Source organism: Homo sapiens, chromosome 18 (assembly GCF_000001405.40).
Source record: "Homo sapiens chromosome 18, GRCh38.p14 Primary Assembly".
Taxonomy (NCBI): Eukaryota; Metazoa; Chordata; class Mammalia; order Primates; family Hominidae; genus Homo; species Homo sapiens.
This window is the reverse complement of record NC_000018.10, coordinates 54,727,902-54,748,733: the sequence shown is the minus strand read 5'-3', so window position 1 is coordinate 54,748,733 and position 20,832 is coordinate 54,727,902. Positions and strand designations below refer to the sequence as shown.

The 20,832-nt window shown below is 37.2% G+C and overlaps 1 protein-coding gene and 1 pseudogene across 7 annotated transcripts in view, besides 1 other annotated feature; both read right to left on the bottom strand.

Moving 5' to 3' along the window:
• Window positions 1-20,832, bottom strand: part of RAB27B (RAB27B, member RAS oncogene family) — a 177,660-nt gene that overhangs the window by 146,783 nt on the left and 10,045 nt on the right. The window lies entirely within an intron of this gene.
• RPSAP57 (ribosomal protein SA pseudogene 57) lies at window positions 3,078-4,061 on the bottom strand (annotated as a pseudogene).
• Window positions 14,322-14,616: a silencer, noted in NCBI's record as "tiled region #5858; HepG2 Repressive non-DNase unmatched - State 24:Quies". NCBI's record gives its function as "represses a minimal TATA promoter and a strong SV40 promoter by Sharpr-MPRA in HepG2 cells {active_cell/tissue: HepG2}" and the evidence as "EXISTENCE:reporter gene assay evidence [ECO:0000049][PMID:27701403]".

Below are 20,832 nucleotides of genomic sequence, written 5' to 3'. Positions count from 1 at the left end.
AAGGACAGATGGGAAGCTTTCCTTTGACCCCATCACCACTGTTTGTGAAAATGCAATGTCTATGCATCTGTGTCAGAATCACCTGAGTTACTCATTAAACATGCAAATTTGTGCCTCAACCCAGGTTGGGTCCATCTATCTGCATTTTACCAGCCTCCCCAGGAGACTCATAGTCCCACTATAGTCTGAGACCATGTTTTAAGCCTTACACAAAATATCTGTAACTACTGCCTTTTTTCACACTCAAGAGGACCACACTGTTTTAGGGAGTTTTAAATCAATGTAAACTTGAGTGATTCATTTGGAAATGGTTGTATTTTATTAATAAGAAATTATTTGTGACATATATCATAGTGAATCCCAGTGTGTTAAGGCATAGAAGTGAGAACTGCTGTGAGGTTCTGGGAGAATCTATATCATCAAATTCCGACAATAATCATTCTGACTTCTACAGAGCACTCCAAAGTCCCTTTAGTGCTTATATCTTTATCACACCATCCTCACAGGAAATGTGTAAATTCTTAAGAGAACTCAGATGATTTTGTAGATATAATTAAATATTATAATTTTAAATAGAATAGGATCAACCACTGAGAAAGTCTTGTTTTTGTTTAGTTTTTTGTTTTTGAGACAAGGTCTCACTCTATTGCTCAGGCTGGAGTGCAGTGGCACCATCTCATCTCATTGCAACCTTCACTTCCCTGGGCTCAAGTCATCCTCCCACCCTAGCCTCCCAGGTAGTTGGGACAACAGCAACATCACCAAGCATGGCTAATTTTTGTATTTTTTGCAAAGATGGGGTTTTACTATGTTGTCCAGGCTGGTCTCGAACTCCTGGGTTCAAGTGACCTGCCTTCCTTGGTCTCCCAAAGTACTGGGACTATAGGCAGGAGCCACCAAGCCCAGCCGAGAAACATTTAATAAAGTCTTTATGCACAAAATCTTTATGAGAACATAAAATACTCAAGCTGCAAAGTTCTAATTACACAATTTAATAACTAACATTGGCTCTGAAACCCACGCATATTTTGGAAAATCATAATTATTTGGTAGGCAAAGTATGAGAAGCAAAAGAATTTAAATGAACTCATATACATGCAGGTGGGCACATACACACAAACACATGTGCACTGAAATGTCAAGACCTATTATTCAGATTTTGTTTAAAAGTCTTCTCACACTCCTCAGACTGAATTATCCACTGTGGTCATTCATTAAGCATCATCAGCCATCTTTCTCAATTCACAATTCATATCCATGGCAAAATGGCATTGGTATTACCCAGGTTTTTATTTTTGTTTAAATCTATTTAAGACTAAAACAAAATGAATGTATTAAAAGGACTTTGCTAGTTTATCCACGTCATTTGGAAGTAGGCCATAGATATTAACAATCACTATTATATTAACTAGTATTCTTCTATAAGGTAATATGGAGAGTGAGACATTGGGCTGGCAAATTTTCATCATCAGGAGGGGACAGAAAAAGTTACGCAAGATAGATTTCTTCTTTCACAAGCAAAAATGAAGGCAGTTGAGGAGAAACTTGAGGCTATATAGGATTGGAGATTGTGGGGAGGAGGTCCTGCTCTATGGAGAGTAGGCTGGGGTGTAACAAAGCCAAACATAAAAATCCTGTCTTGGTCTTGCCTGGCAAAACTTTATAAAATAATCCAAAGCAGATACACATTTTTTAGATACATGGAGACTGATTTTATTTTATTTACAGGGAAACATTAAATCTCTGTACTGTTTTTCTTCACTATCAGGAAGCATATTCTCATCATAGCCCCTAAGCCAGAATTCTTAGATAAAGGTTGGTTTGTGTTATATAAGTTAGTATGTTACTTGAGGCCAAATCATTATGAAATGCAAGTATACAAAAAGTGAATTGTGGATTGAGTATAATAAGAAATCTTATGCATTAAGTATTTAACACACACCAGCCATTTTGCTAAGTGCTTTACATATACTGATTGTGTTTCCATCATAATTCTGTGATGAAGGCACTATTATTCTCTCAATTTTTTGGATGACAAAACAAAGGCTAATTAAAGTAAAGAAGGACAGCAGGTAGGTACTAGAGCCTGAATCTGCATCAAAGCTGATTTATTCCAGCCTCTCTATCTTAATAGTAAGCTTGAATGCCTCCAAAGACGAAAAGAGTGTTAACTACATAAAAACAATAAGTTGTAAGATTCTTATATCTACAAGCATCTCTGATCTGTATAAAATAAGGCCAAATTTGTTTTTCAAAAATGCTTGCAATATTTCAGGAAGCTTTTCATGGAATAAAGTATGACCCATGTAGCAATACTTCAAAACAAGTCTTTAAAGATTATTGACACCACTGAGGGCTCAGGTCTTACCACAAATCCTCCCAATAGCAGTAACATTCTTACCGTCCAGAAACCAAAGTCAACTTCCTGATTTTTGTCTCATCCGACCGGCAATTAGGAGTCTTACCTCATACCTGAGATCTAACTTATGGATATTCTTGCCATCTGATGACACTGGCGTAATCTTCAAGTTTTTCTTCAGTTGTGGACTATTTCATTTTTAGAGGGAATCCCTACTAATTTCAGTCTTCTCAAACAAAGACTAAAACTTGTCAGTGCACCTCCTTGTCCACCTGCATCTCCTTGAAGCTTCATCTCACATATCAATATCTTGTGGCATGCTTCACCCATATAGAGTGAGACCGCCTCCCTTCTCAGTTTTCATAGCATCCTGCATATCTGTATCCTGTGATTGGCATCGCTGTATATTAGTTGCTATTTCATCAACCAGACTGCAGTATCCATCTTTGTATCTATTTATCTTGGCCAGCAGTGTAGCTAATAAATATTTATAAATACTTATATTTATTTTATTAAATATTATAAATAATAATATATAATATAATAAATATAAATATTTAATATTTATAAATACTTATATATAAATAATAAATATTTATAAATACTTATATTTATAAATATTTATGAATACATATCCCAATAAATATTTACTGATTGACAGTGTGAATGCTTCTAATGACTCTTTTAAAAATTTTTTTGCTTTTATTTTTATTAATGTTTTTAGAAGCTGATGGTTATTTTTCATCAAGCTTATTTCCATCTTGCTTTAGAGTCTGTGGAAGAACAGCTTAAGACCTCTCAGTGGTTGTTCCTACCCATCTGGTGGCCTGAGCAGTCGAGTTGCAGACCAGGCTTCTGTGGCAGGCCAAGAGCTCCAGTCTTGAGTAGGGAACTGCTGAGTGGGCCCAGAGGTATCTGCAGGCTGAGTAGCAGTGAACTCAAGATATGCAGCAGTCTAGTTACCCTGAAATTCCTCCTGGGAATTTCAGCCACAGCCTGCTCTTCCTATTCAATCTCTTCAGGATCCCTGTAGAAGTAGTGATCAGGCATGACCTCCCATGGGCGTTCACGGGAGATGATGCCATGCTTATGCAGAACTTCCCAGGCTGGCATCCACCATGTCAGGCCCACTGAGGGGCCTCTCTTGTTGTTACATGGGATGGCAATGTCCACACAGCAAAGAGGAGAATCTGTGTGACCCAGAGCAATGGTAGGCAGGTTAGTGTAAGATGCCTGTGTGAGAGGCTGGGATCGGTAACCACCAGCAGACGCAGCTCCTGGAAGGCTGCCTGGATCTGGTGCGGGAAGGTTCCAGGAGCAAAGTGGCCAGCAATAGGAGTGACTCAAGTGGTAGCAGCAAACTTCAGCAAAGCCCACTTGCCAGTGTTCCTGGAGAATATGACACTGAATCAGCAGGGCTTTCAACAGTGATGATGGCATGAGCCACCAGCAGAAGCTTCTCCCAGGTCCTCTTCAGATTTAGGATGCAGATGCCATCACTTTTCCTTTTGCAGATGTACTGTTCCACTTGGAAGTCAATCTTGGTGCCACCCAAGTGAGTTCCTGCTGCAAGAAATTTGAGGACATCCTCCTCTTTCATGTTCAGGACATCACAGGTTCTGGCCATTGTAAAAGTTTCCCTTTAAGTTCTGAGAGGAATTCAGAATAATGTCATATGGACCCTCTCTGGGTAATATGGAAAGGCTACTATTATTTTTAACTGACACATAATTATTGTACATAATTATGGGGTATATTGTGATAGTTCAATACATGTATACAATGTATACGTAATGATCAAATAAGAATAATTATCATATCCATTACCCCAAACATTTGTCATTTGTGTGTATGTGATGAAAAGAATGTTTTCTGAAATATTTTTCTTCCTCAGATAGCCTTGGGCCTGACCCTCTCTATATTCTCCTTCAAAAAGAAACAAGCTGTTGGGTCTAGATTGCTAATGATGAGATATAGTCACCTATTGTCTAAGCCTCAAAATGCTAGAATATCAGTATAGCCCAAATCTTAAAGGAAAATAAAAACAGGTTTTTATCTTCTCTTAGAAGATTTCTTTATCACATTTTGAAATAAAAATAAATAACTAAAACTTTGCCCTAAAATGAGACAGGAAAGGTAGAAGAAATATTAAGCATCCAAATCTGCTAATCATTTTGAATGGGTCCAATATGAGCTACCTAGGAGATATACAAGTAGCCATGGCTCACACACTTTCCAATGAATGAAATCAATCTATCTTCTTCATATAACATTTATTCACTGTTGATTTTAATAAGTTAGTACAATGGTAAAAAGAACAGATTCAGGCAAATTGCTTGGCCCAAATTATCTCGAGGGATGATTGCTGGATATAAATTACATCAGAATCACTCCTCTAGGCACTGGTTTTCACCACTAACATCTCTTGTCTGGACTGTGATGTGATATCTCTGTAACTGGTCTGTGCTTCTCCCCACCTCCCTTACGGTCGATTTCCTAAGGGCACTCAAGTGAACCATTAACACGTGACAGAGCATGTCTCTTATTTTTCCCACCTCTTCAAGGGTTTCTCATCTCACTGGGCATAAAGGCCACAGTTCTATCAAGGATCTATGAGCTGATTCGCTCTGTCCACTCTGGCTCTTTGTTGTGTATCTGATCTCACCTCCTATTACTCTCCTCTCTCCCTCTTTATTCTAGCCATATTTACCTTCTTGCTCTTCCTGGAATGTGACAAACACACTGCTATGCAAGGACCAGGCATCCACCAGTCATCATTCCCTCTGCCTTAGGTGCTTTTTCCCGCATTTATTGTCTGAATGGCTCATTCCCTCACTGATCTCAGGACTCTGCCTAAGTTCCACATGGACTGAGTTTTCCTCACTCATGATTCAATGGAAATCAGCTCCTACTCTCTCGGCCCTTGATCTTCATTAATTATTCACATCTGACATATTATAGCTGCATTTCCATATTTGCATTGTACTGTCTGGAGCTCCAAGATAACAGGAACTCTATTATCAGCCCCTAGAAGAGGATCTGATTCATAGTAGGAACTCAATCAATATGGGCTGAATGAATAATAGAATACCACCACAAAAAGAGCTTCTAATTCAGTTATGTTAATATAGTGACATAAAATGCTGAAAATTACAGTGACACAAAATGTTGAAAACTACAGTATGTAAAAGCTAAATAGCACAATAGCTGAATGAGATGCTGCAGAGTAGTGTGGAATTAAGGACCAGATACAAAATCATTGGCTTAGGCAATAAGAGTGGGTGTCCAAGAATGCTTGAGATTATGTTATACAGGACCAGGAAGAAAAGTGATCTTCTCTGTTTCTATCTAGGCTTGAAAATCTTGTTCCAAATTGGAAGACACACTTCTGAGGATTGCCAGCAACTTCTGCAGGCTTCCAAAAGTAGTACATGGTCTGGTCATCCTGCCAAAAGCTGACCTCACAGGGTGAGTTGACATAGATGCAAAATTTGCAAGGCTTTCCTGCACACTTTAGGAGTCATGAGCCCTATTATCAAGGTCCTGGGATATGGCCAACATCCACAGAGGAAAGCACAGTGTTATGCAACTGGAAGCTTTTGGTCTTCATATGCAAGTGGGCAGCATCCTCCTTGTGGTTAGACTCCAGGGATTTGCTGTTTTCTGTCTCACAGTCTAGAAACATAGAAAATCTGGAAGCCAGACTGCCTTACACCTACCACTCAGCTGTCTTCAGGGCACTTGTTCTCATAATTACTTGCTTTATACTCAGAAAATGCAAATAAACTTGATTATTAGCAGAGGCAAAACACAGAAATGAAGGCCAATCTATTGCAGACATAGCAAATGTATTCTTAGTAAATAAATTACAAATGATTTAAATGACCTTATACTTTATAACATTTGTATGACTGACCCCAACTTCCTCCTGCCTTCCGTTCTGATAGATTTAAGTAACATCATGTACATGTACTTTTAGGTTTTTGAAAAACAAGCTAGGATGCTTATAAACTCAGAAAGATGAAACTGCTTCCAGGCAATTTAATCATCAAATAAACCGCATGTACGATAATGACTTCAACACTGTATTCCACCCACCATTACGACTGCCAGAAAGGTCTCTCCTGTAAGTTTCCTGAAGGACAGTGTTACAAGAGGCTTACAGTTTCCTCCAGGGTGATAATTAAGTCATTTTGCAAACAATTGCCTTAAAGGCTTTCTCCTGGTCATTTGTCCTAATCAGAAAAATAAGACTGCTTTAGATTCTCTTTCCCTTTCAAGCTTTGCATATGAAAACATTCACTCCTCTATGAAAAGCTGCATTAACTTTTACACTGAAATATACTTTTATTTGTAGCACAAGCCTTCAGGCCAAAACAAACCCCTTAAGACTGATTTTGCCAGAAGGTAGAATGTCAGAATCCTCAGAGCTTGTTTTTGCAAGTATTTAACTCTAGACTATGTCTTCAGATATTATAGAGGCCTTGACTTCTTACCTACTGCCAGCTTAGGCAAAAGGAGAACTAAGCCATTGCCAGGAGGTAGGTCACTTTTTACTTAAAGAAAGCTTAGAGGCCAGGTACAGTGGTTCACCCCTGTAATCTCAGCACTTTGGGAGATGGAGGTGGGTGGACTGCTTGAGCCCAGAGTTCAAGACCAGCTTGGGCAACATGGTGAGACCCTCTCTCTACAAAAAATACAAACAAACAAAAAATTAGCTGGGCATGGTGGTGCATGCCTGTAATCCCAGCCACTTGGGAGGCTGGGGTGGGAGGATGGCTTGAGCCCAAGAGTCAGAGGTTGTAGTGAGCTGAGATTGTACCACTGCACTCCAACCTGTGCAACACAGCGAGGCCCTGTCTCAAAAAAAGAAGAAAAAAAGAGCTTAGAGTTCTTGGTTCAGCAGCACAGTACATAAGATTGGAATGATTCTTAGTAGCTTCTCATGGCCACTATATTTCTTAAAAGCCAGATGCACAACAGTGAACTTAGTATACTAACTTTTTTGTGACAAAAGGGAGGAAATAATATACATTCATCTTTGACTGTATTGGCAAATGGAAACACTGAATAGGTGATAAACCTCTTTAGCTTTAAGGAACAGGGCTGTGGGTGACATGGTGGGATGGGCGGAGGAATGTAGGTGAGTGTTCTAATGTTGTCCTTTTGTATTTTTCAAGTTTTGATTTACTAATTCAAAATTTAAAGGGTCTCATAGGAAGATATGGTCTTAGTAACATTTAACTGTATTTTACCTTATCTTTGAAAATTATTGTGATACCACTTGCCTCTTAGGTTTTGTATGCTAGGGACACTATTTAGTATCCATGACTTCCGGAATAAATGCTTTTTATGAAAGTAGGTTATTAGATTATCATCATGACCAAAAACCTAGGTAGAGTTTATTGAAAATAAAGACCAAGTTTTAGTCTTGTCATATGTTTTCATCAATTTCTCAGCCTCCTTTCTTCTGTTAATAAAAATGCACTAGCAGTAAAATCTCCTCATTTCATTCTTTATATTATCTATCTATCGATCTATCATCTATCTATCTATCTATCATCTGTCTATGTCTATCTATCACTTAGTGAGAGCCTGCTATATACTGGCTTATATATCCCAAGCTTTACATTTTACAAATGAAGGAAGCTGTGGCTCAGAACTTTTAAGAGACTTGCCAAAGTTGCTGATCCAGCATGTATACCTAGATCTAACTAATTAGAAAGCTCTCACTGTGCCAACAGGACCACTTTAGCCACTCCTAGGTCATGATTCTACTTGAGAGAAAGTGACATGTTGACTGGAGACATTCCACTGTCAAGCTGTGGAAACTCAGGCAGGTATCCTATAAATAAAACATTGGAAAGAAGGTCCTCATTTCCTTTCTTGTTCTAATATCCAGATGAGTTACGTTAGATTGCTCTCTTTAATAAAAATAGGTTCTGGAAATTTGTGTTGGAAAAAATGGTCTGAATACTAAAATGTTTATTCAACGTAAGGATTGCAAGAATGACTCATCATTTCCTTCATATCCCTGAGGCTCTATAACTCTTTCTATTTAGACATCTAAGGGGTTAGGAGGACAATGTCTGAGAATTGTTTCATTATCTGGGGATGAGCTAATAGAAACTATAAGAAATAATCATTCTTATAGGAAGATCCTTAACATTACTGCCTTATCCAGAATCAATCAAGTAACTGAATTTTAATAATTGTAGCCATGAGATGAATTCTTCCTCCATGAACTTGTTACCAGACCATGAACAAACCATAAAAGACAATAATAGGTAAGTGGGACTATATCAAATTAAGCTGTTATGAAAATAAAGAGGCAAGCTGCAGAATGAGAGAAGAACATATTTGCAATACATATATCTTACAAACAATTTGTATCCAGAATATATAGATAACTCTTACACATCTACATGGGCAAATGATTTGAGTAGACATTTCTCAAAAGAAAATATATGAATGTCTAATAAGCTCACATAAAGAAGCTCAATACCATTAGGACTTCGAAGAAATGCAAATTAATCACAGTGAGATACCACTACATACCCACTAGAAGGGTTAAACTTAAAAATATTAAGAATACGAAATGCTGATGGGAATGTGGAGAAACTATTTGTACTGGAGAAAGTAAAATGCAACAATCACTTTGGAATAAAATTTGGCAGCTTCTTACAAAGCTAAATGTACACTTAGCATGTGGCTCAGCCATTCCACTCTTAGGTATTCACCAAGAGAAATAAAAATGTGCCACACAAAGATTTGAAGATCAAAGGTCATAGCAACTTTATTCATAGCAGCAAAAAAAAAAAAGAAAGAAAAAAAGAAAGAAAGAATTTAAGGGTACATCAACAGGAGAATGGATTTTAAAAAGGTAGTATTTCTTTCTTTCTTTTTTTTTTTTTTTTTGAGATGGAGTTTCGCTCTTGTTGCCCAGGCTGGAGTGCAATGGCAGGATCTCAGCTCACTGTAACCTCCGCCTACCAGGTTCAAGCAATTCTTATGCCTCAGCATCCCAAGTAGATGGGATTACAGGCACCCACCACCACGCCTGGCTAACTTTTTGTATTTTTAGTAGGGATGGGGTTTCACCATGTTGGCCAGGCTGGTCTGAAACTCCTGACCTCAGGTGATCCACCCGCTTCAGCCTCCCAAAGTGCTGGGATTACAGGCATGAGCCACCACACCTGGCCAAAAGGTAGTATTTCTATATGGTGGAATACTATTGAGTACTAATAAATTAAAATGAAACAACACACAGCAAAACTCAAAAACATGACATGGAGTGAAAGCAGACATACACAAAAGCATACATATTGTATGATGCATTTATATGTAATTCCACAGAAGGCAAATCAACTTGCAGTGACAAATAGCATATTAAAGGCAGCCCAAGGCTAGGGTTGACTGCAAAGAAGCATCAGGGAAATTTGGGGGGTGATAATATTCTCTATCTTGAAGACACCCATAGTTACACAGAGATATACATTTCTCAAGACTCATTGAGTTGTACAATTAAAATAAATGAGGCTTATTTTAGGTAAAGTATATTATAACAAAATTGTTTCATGAAAAACATTCAAGTAAGTTTTGTTCCACAACTAGCAAAAGGTGCAGATCAAATTAAAAAACAGATGAATGTGGTTATGTTCTAAAAAGGGATTTAAGGTAGAGGTACGTTATGGAAAAATCTGATTGCAATGTCTGGGATATGATAGGTGTATTAGTCCATTTTCACACTGCTGTAAAGAACTTCCCTGGGACTGGGTAATTTATAAAGAAAGGGGTTTAATTGACTCACAGTTCTGCATGGGTGGGGAAGCATCAGGAAACTTACAATCATGGTGGAAGGGGAATCAGGCATGTTTTACATGGCAGCAAGTGAGAGAGACAGCAAGAGAGGAAACCGCCACTTAAAAAACCATCAGATCTCACGAGAACTGATTCACTATCACGAGAACAGCATGGGAGAAACCACCCCCATGATCCAGTCACCTCCCACCAGATCCCTCCCTCAATACATGGGGATTATGGGGATTATAATTTGAGATGAGATTTGGGTGGGGACACGGAGCCCAACCATATCAATGGGTGATCAACAAATATTCATTTCCTCCTCTTTTCCAGTTATTCTTATGTGGAAAATGTAAGCAATGTATTCAAAGGCAGTCAGCTATAAAATAAATAATGAGAAATATATGCAGAAAGACAAGATTATGACTCAGTGGTTAGTCATCTAAGAACAATCAGAGGAGTCTAGTATAATACGTAGGCTCTTCTCTCTTACAAACCTGTGATTTCTCTTTACCTTCCGAAGTCTGGCATCTCTCTTTTTTTATTGTACCCATTCAGCAGGTAGCATATATTTTCTACATTGACCATTACATTTTTAAGCACACATTTTTCTTGTTCAACTTTGTCACAAGTTTCTAGAAGGCAAGAAGTATGTCTGACACCTCTTTTTATGGCTGATTTGAACCTAGTTGGTGTTCGATAAAAGTTGAACATATTATAAATGATTATATTGATATTCTTATGTTTGAAAAATCTTGCCTCTTCAATATTATTTAGTCAAATAATTTAGATATGGTCACATCCATTTGAAGTGAAAAATTCATTTATTTAAGAGAAAAAGTCATTTAAAGATTTCTCCTTTCTCCTATGTTCACATTCATTTTTTTCACTTGTTTATTCTTTCAATAAACATGTATTGAGCATCTCTCTTTGCCAGGCACTGCAGTAAGTGCTGGAAATACAAAGATTATTTTGTGCTCACATTCGAGAAAGATGCCAAACCCAGCAACACGTATTTCTAACAGAGTTGGATAAATATATCCTAAGAGATATGTGGAAAGGAAGAGAGATGATGCCAAGATGTACCAGATAAACTTCAAAATTAAATTTTGATCAATCTACTCATTAGCTAATATAAAACTCTGCAATCAAATTTAATGTTATTTAGGTATCTTAATGTAGATGGCCTATAACTGAAACTATAAATAAAGGTTGAGTTACTTTTGGCAATAAAATTGTGGTTGTTATTCTAGACAAAGGGAGTAGCCTCTTTCTCTTCTTGATGCCTAAAGTCAATAAGCCCATCCAAGATTTAACTCTTAACCCATCCAGGGAAGAAGCCTTGTGTGCATAAGACAACCCAGAGAGTCAACAGTGAATGAGTAAACTATGATATGGTTCGAAACTGACCTTTGTGGAAAGTCCATGACTATGTAAGTAGTTTTTTTTTCCACAGAGAGAATCATTTTGAGCAATTGTGAATGAGAAGCATGTCATTTGGAGGTGGTTTACTTATGCAGTCTTCTGTTGCAATTTGATGTATGAAGATAATCTGCACCAATTTGTTCTCTTTCTTTTTGCCACAAAAGGAAATAACATTTAAAAACTGTTCTTTCGAGTCCCTAAGACTTCCCATTCCTCATTATTACATCCCATGGGTGAGTGTACATTTCTCTTTGGCAAAACATAGCTTATTTGTTCAAACTTTGCCATTACATACGACACTCCAGCAGTGTCCTATCCAATGAAAAACTCAAACGCTTATGCTATCTCTTTTGTCAGGGCTTTTCTACATGATATCTCCTTCCTGAAATTCCTCACTCAATTCCCTCCAAAACCCCCCTTAGCCTAGAAAATTCCTACTTATCCTCTGGTCTTATCGAAATATCACTTTCTTGGAGATGACTTTCTTGACTGCATCCTCCACACACACACCCAGAGACTAAAGAAGGCTTCCCTTTGTACTTCTTCATGCAATTTATTAATTAGTTATTCATTTTCTATCTTCCTTATCAGTCTGCACCCTCCAGATGGGAAGACCCTGTTTCTATCTTGTTCATGTAATAGGCACCTAATAGCTATTAATAGCCTTTTTTTTTTACTAAATGAAGAAATTTACAACAATAATGAAATTCAAGGAAATAAGACTTTCATTTTGCTAATGAGAAAACCATGGTAAAGTAGTTCTTTATTATAAAGTTAACTATCTCCATTTTAATAACATCCAATTAGATAATGTTGTATTTCCTTACTGCACTATTGGGTGCTATTATAAAACTAGGTTCTATTGAATACGAAAGTTACTTTTGCAGCAATTCCGTTTCATCATAATCGAGCATAGAAAAATAAAATTCTACATGAAGCAAAAGGCAGCACAAATTTTCTTAGATACTGCGGTTGCCTTACCTCACATCTTCCCATTTTGACCCTACTCAGTTTTATCAGACCATTCACAAATATCCCAACTTGCATGGTTTTGTAGAGGTTAACTGAATCAACCCCTATGAAACCAAGTAAACCAAGTAATACATACTATATTTTGGTAATATTATACATTTTTTAAAGTGTGTGTTGCTCTAAAGCCACTTCTTTAAAATGTGACACTACCAAAAATATTATGTATCATTTGGTTTACTCATAAAATTATCCAGTTTGGCATGGTCCTGATATATGAAAAGTCCTTTCATGCAACAGGCATTTACTACCTAATTTTACTTTTAAATGGTTATAAATTCTATCACAAAAGTGTCAGCTGGGAGTGGTGACTCACACCTCTAATCCCAGCACCTTGGGAGGCCAAGGTGGGTGGATCACCTGAGGTCAAGAGTTCAAGACCAGCCTGGCCAACATGGCGAAACCCTTTGTCTACTAAAAATATAAAAAAATAAAAAATTAACTGGGTATGGTGGCAGGTGCCTGTAATCCCAGCTACTCAGGAGGCTGCAGCAGAAGAATTGCTTGAACCCAGGAGGCGGAGGTTGCAGTGAGCTGAGATGTACTCCAGCCTGGGCAACAGAGTGAAACACCATCTCAAAAAAAAAGTGTCAGAAAAATTATCTGAAATAAGGCAAAAATGTGGTCAGCATGTTCCAGTAATATCATATAAGGGCCATGGTCACCCATGCATCGTCTAGATAGGCACAGCTCTGTCCCAGATAAATTTCTGTGATGTACAGTGTGGTAGCCTCAGAAAGTGTAGTTACTGAGCACAAGAAAAGTGGAGAGTGTGACTGAAGAACTGCTTTTTACATTATATTTCATTTTAATTAATTTAAATTTACATTTAAGTAGCCACGTTTCAATAGCTAGTGGCTACCTTACTGGACAGCACAGCACAGGTATGCACTTAGTTTGTCTCATTTTTTGTTATTAATGAAAGTTTCTAGTCTTTGTAAAATTACTTGTTAATTGGTAGAGTTTTGTCTGTTAGATATGCAAATAATTTTTGCCTGGCAGAACAAGTAATGCCAAAGATTTATGGTAGATATTGGCCAGTTTTATAATGTGACTCAGTAATTTTGTTTTAACAAATCTTTGTTAAATTGTCTAGATACACATAATTTCTCACATTTTCCCAAACCAATCATAAATCTAGTTCTTATTAATTAATGTGTTATACAAAATTATTCACATATGTACATTTATGTTTGTCTGAGATTCATAATTTCAAAATTATATTTCAGCTTTGGATCCCCTAAAATTCACCCACAGAATTATTTCTCAGGTTTCATAGAGGGCACTTGAGAAATTTGTTCTTTTATCTTATAAAACGAGAGATGCTAGAAATACTTAGGTTTGTTTGGTGGCTTCATATTTACTAATTTGTTCAATACCATTCCAAGAGATTTGTGGAAAGAATAATAAAATCAAAAGAGATGCCCAGGCTTCCTTAGGCTATTTATATAACTAAAATATTCATATAAATATATCAGAAATTATGTGCTTTTTAAAAAGGCTTTGGAGATTCTTCAGTGCCTTCCATAATCTAATCTTACCTTCAGAGAAAACATTGATCAAGTCATTATGAGAACCTATGGGAGGATTTTACTGTCCTTTGTCCTTATATTATTGGTTATTGTAATAAATTAACCACAGCCAATCAGTCTCATCATCAAATAGATCTCTGCTTCTTGGTGCTTGCCTGAAGTCTCTGCTCTAAGTTATAGGCTAGAATTGGTGTCTGGCACAAAAGACAGTTCCAGAGTCTCATAGAAGAGACAGTATCAAGTACTCTGCAAAGAACAGGCTCTTAGGGATAGGTTTCCAAATTCTCATGGCTTAGACAACTCTCCGACTCTACAGTGGAGTGAGTCATCATCTCCTAGGCTCCTTTCAGTCCACTAGCAGACGTATTACACACAGGCAGACCGCTGACCTCAGATCCAAGGCAAGAAGAAAAATTAATCACCAGGACTAAATGAGCTCATGAGGAAAATTTAATTGTGATTATTTGTCTGGAATATGGCTGACATTGTTTTAATTTTCTGCTTTTAGTAAGTATATAGGGAACCACTATCTTTCTTCTTAAGCTATCTTTAACCCTTTCCTTAGTAGATTATGCTTTTGTAAACTTAAATGTTCTAAATGATACCTAAGTGTCACTGACTCACTCAAAATTTGGAACCAAATATTTTTAGACTCTTCTTACTTTCCAAGGTAATAAGTTATTTGCATAGGATTGATAAGAATCTCTGCCTATTTTTACCAGAACTTAACCGCCTAAATCACTGTAGCAACCAAATCTACACTTGGAGTGCCATATTTGAGAGGGATTCATATTTAATCAAGTATGGCAGCAACTCACCATTAAGGAACATATGTGAGTTGATGCAGGACCTGCTTCTAGAGTCCTAGGACAGGGAATAGGAAAGAAGTAAACTTCTGGAAGGCCAAGGAGCTTAGCAAATTTGGGGGGGGGGGGCTCTAGAACAGAAGATTTCACCTAAATTTATAGGTACTACAGGAAAAATCTAGTGGACGGAATGTTTTGGGGTTGGTTTCCTAGCCTTAGAAAAGAAGAACAAGAGAGATCAAGAGTCTAACTCAAGTTCCTTCTGAAAATTTCTAGACAGAAGTGAATTTTGTGACCTCAGTAGTTGCTCAATATTGTAGAGTTCTACACTGGCAGAGCAAACTCAATAAGAACTGTATGATTAATTAATGTTATGGATGCACCCCTGGAAATAATCAGATAAAACCTGGACTCTAAGAAGACTTCATTTACAGCTGGGTATGGTGGCTCATGCCTGTAATCCCAGTGCTTTGAGAGGCAGAGGCAGGAGGATCACTTGAGCTGAGGAGTTTGAGACCAGCCTATGCAACATAGCAAGACCTCATCTCTAAAAAAGATTTTTAAAAATTAGCCAGGCATGGTGGTATGCACCTATAGTCCCAGCTACTTGGGAAGCTGAGGCAGAAGGATTGCTTGAGCCCAGGAGTTTGAGGTTACAGTGAGCTATGATCATGCCACCACACTCCAGCCTGGGTAACAGAGCAAAACCCCATCTCTAAAAAAATAAAAAATAAAAAGACTTCATTTACAAAACAGGTGATGAGTTGAATTTGACATATAGACCTAGTTGGTTGATCTAATCTAAAGCATGAAAATAAGGTAAAAGATGAGCAGAAAGTTGTTTCAATAACATATGGGGGAAAAGGCCACTTAGGATTGTCTAAGGGAAGGGATTTAGTTTGTATCAAGGTTACTATTGATTAAAAGTCCCAGATTTGGTGAAGTTGCTTGTTAACCTATAGAGGTTGGTCCTGTAGAAATATAAATAACTTTTGTCTGGTGGAACAGAAAACCTCAATACCTTTTATTTTTAACTCAGCAATCTTATCCTAATATTTGTTTTTAAAATTGATGATTAATATCTAATTTCTTAAATGCTCTCTGAACTAGTCATTATATCTTACTGATATTCTTTATTAACTAATAAGCTAAAGAAATTCTTTTACACATGTTGATTATATATTTCCTGAGAGTTATTATTTTTTCTTTTAAAATTATATTTTAACAAAACTATATTATGGTACAATAATACCTGGTTAAGAATCATAAGCCATGGCTTCTGTTTCCAGTAATGATGTGTTGTGACACCGGACTCTGCACCTGACCACTTAGAATCTCAGGCTTCTTATTTCTAAACTGGGGATGTTGGCCAAGATTTCAAATGTCTCTTTCAAATATCACTTTATATATTCCAAAACTGTAAAGTTTGAATATATTAACAGAGGCAGAGTATTATTGAAAGAAATAAACTTGAACATTCTGAAAAGAACTCAGACCTGGAATACACCAAATCTTTTCATTGTGATATCAACTATCATGATCCATTCTAAATGAAAAAGTACCATTTAAATAACTTTGCCAGGAGCAATCACTCTTTTATTGAGCCATTTGTTCTTTAGATAGATAACTTTTGATATGCACATAGAATGAGACAAGATTTATATCTTTCCTAGAGTTTTCTTCTTGCCAAGACATAAAAAATGGTCATTCTTTATCAGAGAGCTTACACAATACTCAGTATGTCTTCCCACCTTTTTTATACTGACAGCAAAGTTGCTAAAGATCTGAAATAAAATTTTGATCTAGTTTGAATTTAGACAAATGGGAAATTTTAAACAACTAAAACTTATCACGGACAGAAATTGAAGCAGTCTGTTAAAGGTCATACAAATTTCTATGTCCTAAGATTCTGTTAAAATAGCCTACAAAATAATTTTTTAACATTGTGAGTAAAAGATGTTAATTGTATGACATTGATCTTTGTCATTTGTTAAGACTTGCTTTGTGTTGGAACCTAGTACATTTTTGTAAATGTTTATGCCTAAAAAGAATGTGTATGTATACTTAAAAAAGAATAACTTTCTTTTTTTGTTGTTGTTATTTTTTGAGATGGAATTTCACTCTTGTTGCCTCTCGGGTTCAAGCAATTCTCCTGCCTCAGCCTTCTGAGTAGCTGGGATTACAGGCATGCGCCACCACACCTGGCTAATTTTGTATTTTTAGTAGACATAGGGTTTCTTCACATTGGTCAGGCTGGTCTCCAACTCCCAACCTCAGGTGATCTGCCCGCCTCAGCCTCCCAAAGTGCTGGGATTACAGGCATGAGCCACCACACCTGGCAGATTGGGTGAAGATTTCATATGCATCCATTGGATTGAGATTTAAATTGTGTTGTTCAAACTTCCTATATCATTATGAATTTTTGCCCAGTTTCTGAAAGAACTTTGGTCAAATCTCTCACTATGACTATGGATTTGCCCATTTTTTTGTTGCTCTATATATTCTGTTAATACATTTTAGGCTACATCTTCAGGTACTTACAGGTTCAGCATATATTGAACTAATGAATTACAACTTTTACAATTATTTCACAGTCCCTTGAAATCCTAAATTTTTTCTGCTTTAAAATTTATTTCCCTACTATGATTATTGCTATTCCAGCCTTCATTTCATATCTGCTTGTTAGACATTTGTGTATTATACCTATCCCTTATTTAGTGATATGAATTTATTCCTAAAATCCTTATTGCCAAATTAAATAATTTCAAATGAAAAAATACATATGACTATTACTTCAGTAGCAAAAATGACAATGTGTTTTATCCCAATTCTAGATTCTCAAAAGCTTTCACAGAGAGAAAAACAGTAACAATGTAAACAAACTCATGTAGTGTGTTAGTACGTTCTTGCATTACTATAAAGGAATATCTGAGACTGGGTAATTTATAAAGAAAAGTGGTTTATTTTGACTCATGGTTGTGTAGGAGGTAGAGGAAGCCTGGTGCTGGCATCTGCTTCTGGTGAGGCCTCAGGAAGCTTTTACTCATGGCAGAAGGTGAAGTGGAGCCAGCACATTACATGGCAAGAGAGGGAGCGAGAGAGTGAGGAGGAGGAGTCAGGCTCCATCAACACCAGCTCCCATGTGAACTCATAACCACGGGAGGGCACCAAGCCATTCATGAGGCATCAACCCCCGTGACCCAAACACCTCCACCGGGCCCCACCTCCAACACTGGAGGTCACATTTCAACATGAGATTTGGAGGGGACACACATCCAAACCATATCATATAGGTAATTAAAAAATAAAAAAGAAGTAAATGCAGCACGCTAATAACTATAGCATGATGACAGTTTATTGTACTTGTCAAGTGAGGAGGACTTGATGACGGGAGGGCATTGGCGGAGAACCATGCATTTGTCGGAAGGCGCAGTCCATGTCAGCACCTGTTTTTCAACTTTTCGGAACTTATGGTTAATTTTTCATTCCAAATACACTTGAACATAGTTATAAGTCCAGATAACGTCTTCAGGGCAAAATAAAAACTAAACACAAGAGCACTTCCTAAATCTATGGAAACAGTGATGTACGTGACAGACTAAAACGTCATAAAAGATACAACCTCTTCACTCTGTTTGGGTTTACCCAAACACAATGTACAATTAGAATTATGAATATATAAATTTGTTTTTTGAGATATTTTCTGACCAGAAAATTTTATATTAAGTAAACTGGTGAGCATGAGTTTACCTAAAAAAACCCAAATTATCACTTCTTATTGCATCTTTCCTTAGCAAATTATACCAAATGGAGAAAAAGAGTCTTCAGCAAATTAGAACTCTTCGAGAGTCATTTAAGGCAAATGGTATTAACTGAACAATCACTAATGTGAGGCTGGTCTTAACTTTCAACATTTTTTTTTTGTCCTTTTGTCTTAAGGGTATCTCTTATAAGAAGCACATAAGTGGATTATTTTTTTAAATCTAAAGTTGATTAGATTAATTCACTTATAGTATCATGTTCTCTGATGGTGGATTTATTTTGTGCTTTCCATTTACTAAGTTTTTGTTGTTGTTTTGCTTGTTTTTACTATTATATTTGCCTGCTTTCTATGGGTTAATCAGGCTTTAAAAATTCCCTCTTATTCCTTTTCAAAAACTTTATAACACACTTGTCTTAACAAAGTCTGAAGCTAATGAACAGAATTAACCTTTTCTCAAGCAATACAAGATACTTTAGAATGCTATAAATCAAACGATTGCCTCCATTTTCCATCCACCTTGCTTTTAAACTCATTCAAATTTTATCTTGTCATTGGTGTTCCACAATCTAACTCTAATATATTGAGGATGTAGGCTCCTTTCTAGATATCCTTCTTGGGGTTAAGTGTGCTTAGTATCTTCCTTCCGGCCTTTTTCAGGAAAGCTCTTGGTCATTAACCCTTAGAATATCACTCCTCTCCTTTTCTCCCTAGTCTCTTATCTCGAAATTCTTACTAGGTAAATATTTAAACTTAATCATTCTAGGCCCCTTGTATTTATGCTTCCCTTTTAATTTTCCCTAATCTTGTTAGAGTGATATTTTGTATTCCAAATAGCACTAATAAATAGAAACTTTACAAATAAATAAGTACCCGTAGACTGTCTCCTTGATGTTACAGTTTTCACAGGTAACTACGTCAGCCTGTGAAAAAGTCCATCAGGCAATGTTATGCTTTTTGTTTTTAATAGTTTTATATGTTATAATGAATATAAGAGGTGAAAAATAGCCCATGTTGTATACTCAGATATTTAAGATTTCTACTAATTTTTAAACAAAAATTCCTGAATTTGTAGGCAGGTTTCCTTTGGTGGTGGTTTTTTTTTTTTTTTTTTTTGGGTTTTTTTTTTTTTTTTTTTTTTTTTGAGACAGAGTCTTACTCTGTCTTCCAGGCTGGAGTACAGTGGTGTGATCTTGGTTCACAGCAACCTCTGTCCCCCTGGTTAAAGCAATTCTCCTGCCTAAGACTCTCAAGTAGCTGGGATTACAGGTGTGCACCACCAGGCCTGGCTAACTTCTTGTATTTTTGATAGAGACAGGATTTTGCCATGTTGGCCAGGCTGGTCTCAAACCCCTGACCTCAAGTGCTCAGTCTGCCTCTGCCTCCCAAAGTGCTGGGATTACAGGCATGAGCCACCACAGCCAGCTGGTTCCCCCTTTTAACCATTTCCCTTCCACTCAAAGAACTTCCTTTAGTATTTCCTTTAAGTAGACCTACTAGTGATGAATTTGTTTAGTTTTCACTTGATAATTTTCCCAGTTTGCTCTATTTCTGAGAGATTTAATTTTGCTAGGTAGAGGATTCTGGACTGACAGTTACCATGGGCTTCACCCCTCAGGGTCTGAGATTGTCTTTCTAGCTGAGGGGGGCAAGAGTAAAAGATAACAAAAACTTCACCCCACTGAGGCTGCCATCCCCAACGCCACCCCCATGAGAGGGAGGGGAGGGCTGCTAGTTCTTTGCTGACACTTGGATGGAGATGGCCAAGAGTCTAAAGGCTTTTCTGTAGCCTCCCCACCCCTACCCCACTCCCATCTTCTGGCCAGAGGAAGTGAATTTTTCTGGAGCTTTTTTGGTGTGTTCCTATTCAAAGCTCTGCAGCTTAGACTGATCTGGAGCCTGTTGGTATATACAAAATATAAATTAAAACCCCAGGAAATGTACTGCTCAGTCTCCCCTCTATTTCTGGCTTTCGTGTAAGTCCTCTTATTCTTATCCACTTTTCAGAGCCCTTGCAGAGACCTTCAAACCTGCCGTATTTTATGCAGAGTTTTTAGCTGTAGTCAGGGAGCTGTAGCGTGGAGTGTGATTATCTCATCCGGCTAGCTGTTAAGGTGA